At 42.8% G+C, this 7,779-nt stretch overlaps 1 pseudogene, besides 1 other annotated feature; it reads right to left on the bottom strand.

Moving 5' to 3' along the window:
• Positions 1,114-1,707: an enhancer, noted in NCBI's record as "NANOG-H3K27ac hESC enhancer chr19:43179943-43180536 (GRCh37/hg19 assembly coordinates)". NCBI's record gives its function as "activates a minimal SCP1, AML or CMV promoter by ChIP-STARR-seq in primed H9 embryonic stem cells {active_cell/tissue: H9 hESC(primed)}" and the evidence as "EXISTENCE:reporter gene assay evidence [ECO:0000049][PMID:30033119]".
• Positions 6,637-7,520, bottom strand: RPS10P28 (ribosomal protein S10 pseudogene 28; annotated as a pseudogene).

Genomic DNA, 7,779 nt, shown 5'->3' with positions numbered 1-7,779 from the left:
AAGGTAAAGCTAATTTTTGTTGTAGTTGATGTTCATGAAGGGTACGTGTGTTACACAGAATCATGGCCTCCTAAAAATGTCCACATCCTGACCCCTGGAACCAGTGCATGTTACTATATTTGGCAAAAAGACTTTGAAGATGTGATGAGGTTAAGAATCTTGAGATGGGAAGGTTATTCTGGATTATCTCAGTGGGCCCAGTGTATCATAAGGGTACTTGTAAGTGAAAGAGGGAGGCAGGAGGGTCAGGGTGAGAATGATGCAGCGTGAGAGACACCATTGGCCATCGCTGGCTGTGAACGTGCATCGAAAGACAAAATTACTATAGATCTATAATTAATTTAGTTACAAATCTAATTGGCGCTTTTTTTTTCCTGAGACAGAGTCTCGCTTTGTCGCCCAGGCTGGAGTGCAGTGGCACGATCTCAGCTCACTGCAAGCTCCGCCTCCCAGGTTCACACCATTCTCCTGCCTCAGCCTCCTGAGTAGCTGGGAGGCACCTACCACCATGCCCGGCTAATTTTTTTTTTTTTTTTTTTTTGTATTTTTAGTAGAGACAGGGTTTCACCATGTTAGCCAGGATGGTCTCGATCTCCTGACCTTGTGGTCCACCTGCCTCAGCCTCCCAAAGTGCTGGGTTTACAGGCGTGAGCCACCGCACCCGGCCAGATCAAATTGGCTTTTAATTGTGATTCATGATTTGGGGCAGAACTCATTCTATAAATACAGTGATAGCTCCCCCTGGGCAATACAATAACAGAACAGTGGATTTTGTCAAATGAGAACCAGTAAACAGAGCCATAGAAATGGATTGGTTAGCCGCCCCGTCCGGGAGGGAGGCGGGGGGTCAGCCCCCTGCCTGGCCAGCCGCCCCGTCCGGGAGGTGAGGGGCGCCTCTGCCCAGCCGCCCCTACTGGGAAGAGAGGAGCCCCTCTGCCTGGCCAGCCGCCCCGTCCGGGAGGGAGGTGGGGGGGTCAGGCCCCCGCCCGGCCAGCCACCCTATCCGGGAGGGAGGCGGGGAGGTCAGCCCCCAACCCTGCCAGCCGCCCCATCCGGGAGGGAGGCGGGGGGGTGAGCCCCCCGCCCGGCCAGCCGCCCTGTCCGGGAGGTGAGGGGCGCCTCTGCCCGGCCGCCCCTACTGGGAAGTGAGGAGCCCCTCTGCCCGGCCACCACCCCGTCTGGGAGGTGTACTCAACAGCTCATTGAGAACGGGCCATGATGACAATGGTGGTTTTGTGGAATAGAAAGGGGGGAAAGGTGGGGAGAAGATTGAGAAATCGGATGGTTGCTGTGTCTGTGTAGAAAGAGGTAGACATGGGAGACTTTTCATTTTGTTCTGTACTAAGAAAAATTCTTCTGCCTTGGGATCCTCTTGATCTGTGACCTTACCCCCAACCCTGTGCTCTCTGAAACATGTGCTGTGTCCACTCAGGGTTGAATGGATTAAGGGCGGTGCAAGATGTGCTTTGTTAAACAGATGCTTGAAGGCAGCATGCTCGTTAAGAGTCATCACCACTCCCTAATCTCAAGTACCCAGGGACACAAACACTGTGGAAGGCCGCAGGGTCCTCTGCCTAGGAAAGCCAGAGACCTTTGTTCACTTGTTTATCTGCTGACCTTCCCTTCACTATTGTCCTATGACCCTGCCAAATCCCCCTCTGCGAGAAACACCCAAGAATGATCAATAAAAAAAAAAAAAAGAAAAAAGAAAATTGGAAAGGCTTCAGGATTGTCAGTTAAATATAATTGTTTTTTCCTGGGTCTACTGACACACAGGTTTACATTGTCTCCATTACTTTTTTTTTTTTTTTTTAATTTGTTTTTTGTTTTTGAGCTGGAGTTTTGCTCTCATTGCCCAGGCTGGAGTGCAGTGGTGAGATCTCAGCTCACCACAACTTCTGTCTCCCAGGTTCAAGTGATTCTCCTGCCTCAGCCTTCCGAATAGCTAAACTACAGGTGTATGCCACCATACTTGGCTAATTTTTGTATTTGTAGTAGAAACAGGATTTCACCATGTTGGCCAGGCTGGTCTCGAACTCCTGACCTCAAGTGATCTGCCCACCTTGGCCTCCCAAAGTGCTGGGATTACAGGCGTGGGCCACCGTGCCCAGCCTATTACATGTTTTAAGATCATAAAACTGCTACTTCTGGAATATTTCTTAAACTTGCTTGATTTGTCTAAATTGAGCTAAAGCTGTAAGGTCTGGCTGCTGGGCTCCCTGAAACCTTGCACATATCTTACTGTATGACTGTATTTCGTTTTGAGTCTCTGGATTCTGGGGTTTGGACAGATGACCATAGTGAGGCCCGCAGAAATATGCATGTCCTCAGTGTTTGGACTGCCAGCTGCAAGGCAGAGCCAAACCCAATATGGCCCCATCATCCCTGGCTCAGCTGTGCTACCTGGCCATGCTGGAAGGGGTTTGATCTTCCAGGAATTTGCTTCACAGCTCTTTCCTGTCCCAAGCTCTATGCCTGATGTGTAAATTCAGGACCCAAAAGGGCACAAAAAAGCAATAACTACTAAATATAAGGAAAACAACTCTGTATACAGCATGTATAAAGAAAAGCAAGATATATTTGGGGAGATAAAAGTTGTAAAGGCATTAAGATGTGTGTTTGTTGAGAAAAAATAAATTTGTGCATTTAAGAAGTTAAAAAAAAAAAGAAATGGATTGGTTAACATCAATGTACTTCAGGTCACTTTTTTTGTAAAAGTTAAAGCAGAGGTGACTTCCTTATTATGCTGACTCAGGTAGACTGGAATCTCCTGTTCTCAGAAAAAAAAATGGTCTGTTTTGGAATCTGTCTGCTTCCTTAAAATTTCAGTCGGAGTATGTAGCATTTAGCATGAGTGGCTCTGTTTTGGAGTCTCTAGGACCTCACTAAGGGACCAGAACTTAAGACATTAGCAATCCTTTCTATCACCATCATTTTGGGCTTCCATCATTCATAGGTTATAATGTCCTCCTGATCACACATTTCTTTGAGTTTTTGTAACTCCAGCCAAAGAGACACTATTTGATATTCAATGGATGGCTGCATGCAAACATTTAAAAACTTTTGGAGAATACAACAGAATACAACACACCAGGAGACTACTAATATGACTATCAGGAAGATAATACCAAGAGTTTGGAATATGCACCTTAGGCAAGATGCAAACCAACTAAAATAGAACACATCAAAGAGTGAGCCAGAAGAGCCTAGCCATTTTAACCAAGCAGCACATTTGTTAATTTTTGCAACTAAGTCTCTATAATATCCGACGTATTTATCCATGTGCAACAAGAAGTGTCAGAAACTGCACAGACTCCTTCCTGTTCAGCTAGTAGTGGCCAATTTATTAACTAGCATCCCATGGCTGGGTTAAATTAAACAGGGAGTGAGAACAGGTGAGTCTGAAGGTCTAAAGTCTAAAAGGGACCACTGTACATCTGAAAAAACAGCTGTGTTAAAGATGCTGCTAATGAGCCTGAGGCTCTCACCAGAGGCAGATGCCCAATTTTGAACTTTACAGCCACCAGAATCATAAGCCATATAAACCTGTTTTCTTTATAAGCTACCCAGTCTCAGGTATTTTGCTATAGCAACATAAAATGGACTAAGACAAGTATACAGCTGTTAAAAGACTAAGAGATTTTTTATATCCTGATGTGGAATGACCTGCAAGATGTATTGTTAAATGAAGAAGCCAGATGCAAACAGTGTGCCTCAAATGTTTACCATTTACTTTTGAAAAAAAGAAGAAAGACTAGACCAATGTGCTTATAAGATGTGTTGGTGGTATAGTGGGGAGCATAGCTGCCTTCCAATGTGCTTGTAAATATTAGGTTGGTGCAAAAGTAATTGTGGTTTTTGCCATTAAAAGTACGGGCAAAACCGCAATTGCTTTTGCACCAACCTAACACATAGAATATGTCTGGATAAGACATAAGAAACAGATATTCCTGGTTGCCTCTGCAGAGGGAAACCAGGTGATAGGATGGAGGAGGGATAGGTGTTATGAGGGACACTTTCAGTATACGCTTTTCTACCTGTTGAAATTTGTACTGTTAATGCATTACCTGTTCAAACAAGTAAAATTTATGATTATAAAAATATACACTAAATCATTAAAAGTGGTTATTGCTGAAGGAAAAAAAAGATGCTGCTAATGTCAGCCATTGGGTAGACTAAAGGATCTCTTATGTTATGTGGAAATAAGGGAATGAATTCATCCCAGATTCAACACTCTGTTAAGCTACCCTCAGAAGATACTTCTTGTGAAATTCTAATGACAGCATTATCTCACCAAGAAAAAGAGGCAGACATGAGCAAGGACAAATTAAGAGGGGCAAGAGCCTCATCAGGAAGGGGAGTCTTGTTTTGACATCTTGGGAAAAGCTGTCCACAGTGTGAGGTCATCAACTTCTTGTCCTGGTTTGCAGTTAAGTGCCTCTAGTTATGGTGTCAAATATTTTGGTGAGCTCTGAGTGGCCCATACCTCAGACATGAAGGTTTTCCCATGAAATTTACATTGAGTTGTCCCCCTCCAGCTTATAGGGCTTCAGGAACACAGCAGATCTTGTTCTTACTGATTCCATAGGAGAAATTGGGTTGGAGAAACTAGAAGAATTCAGGGTCCAGTCCAGTCTACAGGTGGATTATAAAAACTCAAAAACAATGAACAGAGCTGAAATCTCATAAAAGTTGTGCTACAGTTTTTCTTCTCAACATAATTTTTCTCTCTATGGGCATCTCTATTTCTACCAAAGATAATACCACTAAGGCAAATTTGTTTGCAAAATAGATTGAGTCTCATCAAACTTGGCCTTTACATTAAGTGCAGAAAGAGTTGTAATGGATCACATAGGCTCTTCTTAAACTTTGCTTTGCTGGATATTTTTTATAAGGAATCTCAGATTAAACTTTCAAAAACCTCTTGAGACCAGGAAGCCAAACCAAGGCTTACTTTACACTTGCCTGCAGTATCTGTGGTTTCATTCTATTTATATTTTCAAATGTAATATCCCAGTCAAAGCCTTGGTAATATAACCAATGTTTTCAAATGTATCCTGTTATAAAGAGAGCAGATATTTATTGAACTTAAGCAAATATCTGTATTACCATAAACATATGAATACTCATGAATAGTTGCCCAATTCTAAGGCAGTCAGGTAGGGAGCAAAAGTAAATGCTTCAATTTTTGTTCACAAAAGTATACTTTGTCAAATTACTGTGTGCTATAGATTGGTTAAAAGAAAAAATTCCATAAATCTGGAAAACAAACCACTTAAAGAATCAGCAAAACTCCAAACAAAAAATCATAAAAACATTCTCATCATTATTATTATTTAGTCCAATGAAATTGAGTTTTTTCCTGCTTGGTCTTGGCTGGCAATTTCATGAAGGTATCAGAAGAACTTGGAAGTTCTTAGACAGTCCAGTGGTATCTTAAATTCATCAAAAACTTGTATTAAAGAATCCTTGTCAGAGCCTTTTCTGTAAATCTCCTTGAAGCAAGAAGCAATTTTGGACTGTAGCTGATTGGAAATACTTTGAGGAAGAATCAAAACAACTGTCTATGAATGACAGATTTAAAATAACTATGGTTAAAAATCTGATGAGCGTTCATTAAGATAAAGACATGGCTCATATAGAAATCTAGTTGCTTCTGTGGCATATGACATTATGACTGATATTAGATTTCTATGAATCTCATATAATTTTTGGAAGACTCATATCAGTAACATACCCATAAATTAACATTGAGAATACACGCCAAGTTTGATGAGACTCAATCTATTTTGCAAACAAATTTGCCTTAGTGGTATTATCTTTGGTAGAAATAGAGATGCCCATAGAGAGAAAAATTATGTTGAGAAGAAAAACTGTAGCACAACTTTTATGAGATTTCAGCTCTGTTCATTGTTTTTGAGTTTTTATAATCCACCTGTAGACTGGACTGGACCCTGAATTCTTCTAGTTTCTCCAACCCAATTTCTCCTATGGAATCAGTAAGAACAAGATCTGCTGTGTTCCTGAAGCCCTATAAGCTGGAGGGGGACAACTCAATGTAAATTTCATGGGAAAACCTTCATGTCTGAGGTATGGGCCACTCAGAGCTCACCAAAATATTTGACACCATAACTAGAGGCACTTAACTGCAAACCAGGACAAGAAGTTGATGACCTCACAAACTTATCATTTGACAATGCTTCCCATATAATTTAACATATCAAATAAAGTGGCTTTTCCATTTAGCTTGTGTTTCTTAACTGGATTACTGAGTTCTCGGTGTAGCCCATTAACAAATATGGCCAACAAAGTATAGGCTTATGTATGTTGAAAAACCTCCCTAGGTCATCTAGCTAAAAACCATTAATTTAGCCCTACGTCCTACCTATTTAAACAGGAGAGTTCACCATCCTGGTTACACATTAGTAGCATCTGGGGAAGCTTAAAAATTATCAATGCCTGGGTCCCACGCCAGACCACTAAATCAGAAGGTATGGGGAGTGAGGGCTTCAGCATCCATTTTTAAAAAATGTTTCCCTGTGATTCCAATGTGTGGCTGTATTTCCCATCAGATTTATCTGAATTCTTGTGGCATTCATTTTGTTCTATTTTGGTATTATAATTACTTTTTTTTTCTTTTTGGCTGTAGGTTTATTCAATGCAAAATAATCCTCTCCAATTTTTCTGAGGTGGTTGACCACGTCCACATCCAAATCCGCCTCTAAACTGGAATTTGGTTGCTGACCCGGCCCCAGCCTCGGTTTTCTTGTCGGCACCAGGGGGCACAGCACTCCGTCTGTAGGTATCTCTGTCGGTTTCCTCTCTTTTGAGTCTTGCAGGTGGCTCACCCTCCAGACCTTTAGGCGGAGGCCTGCCAGTCTCTGGACGGTTGTGGCGTAGGGTGGCAGGCACAATCTCCAGGGGCAGATGAAGATAATCACGGAGATACTGGATGCCTTCATTGGTAAGGTACCAGTAGAAATGTCTCCAGGCAAACTGTTCCTTCACGTAGTCTCAGGACTTGAGAGACTGCATGGCCTTCATGACATGAAGGTTGGGCACATTCTTGTCTGCCAGCTCCGGGTGCTTAGGCATGTGGACATCCTTCTTAGCCACCGTGACTCCTTCCTTAAAAAGGAGTTCATGGCTGGGCGCCGTGGCTCACACCTGTAATCCCAGTACTTTGGGAGGCCAAGGCAGGTGGATCTCGAGGTCAGGAGATCGAGATCATCCTGGCTAACACAGTGAAACCCCGTCTCTACTAAAAATACAAAAACAAAATTAGCCGAGCGTGGTGGCGGGCGCCTGTAGTCCCAGCTACTCGGGAGGCTGAGGAGGGAGAATGGCGTGAACCTGGGAGGCGGAGCTTGCCGTGAGCCCAGATCACTCCACTGCACTCCAGCCTGGGCGACAGAGTCAGACTCTGTCTCAAAAAAAAAAAAAAAAAAAAAAAGTTCATAAATGGCAATCCGACTCTTCTTAGGCATTAACATCTTGGTGGCTGTAGGGTCCAGGGCCGGAGTTTATAATTACTTTTAAGGTCCTATCTTGTGTCTTAGGCTTTATGATCCCTGGGGTAGGGACCTTGCCTTCTTCATTTCTGTATTTTTCATGAACACATAAATTGGTTATCAGGGAAAGCTTCCCAACCACATGTATATTGTGTCCTAAGTCTTAGATTCACACATTAATGCTAGAGTCATTGTTCTCCATGAGGTCAGAGGTTGCTTGTGATGAAGGCTGTGGGTAACTTTGCAGTGCAGATGATGGAGGGCGGTC

The sequence above is a fragment of the Homo sapiens genome, chromosome 19, assembly GCF_000001405.40.
Source record: "Homo sapiens chromosome 19, GRCh38.p14 Primary Assembly".
Taxonomy (NCBI): Eukaryota; Metazoa; Chordata; class Mammalia; order Primates; family Hominidae; genus Homo; species Homo sapiens.
The sequence above is the reverse complement of the archived record's forward strand: the minus strand, read 5'-3'. Positions and strand labels throughout refer to the sequence as shown.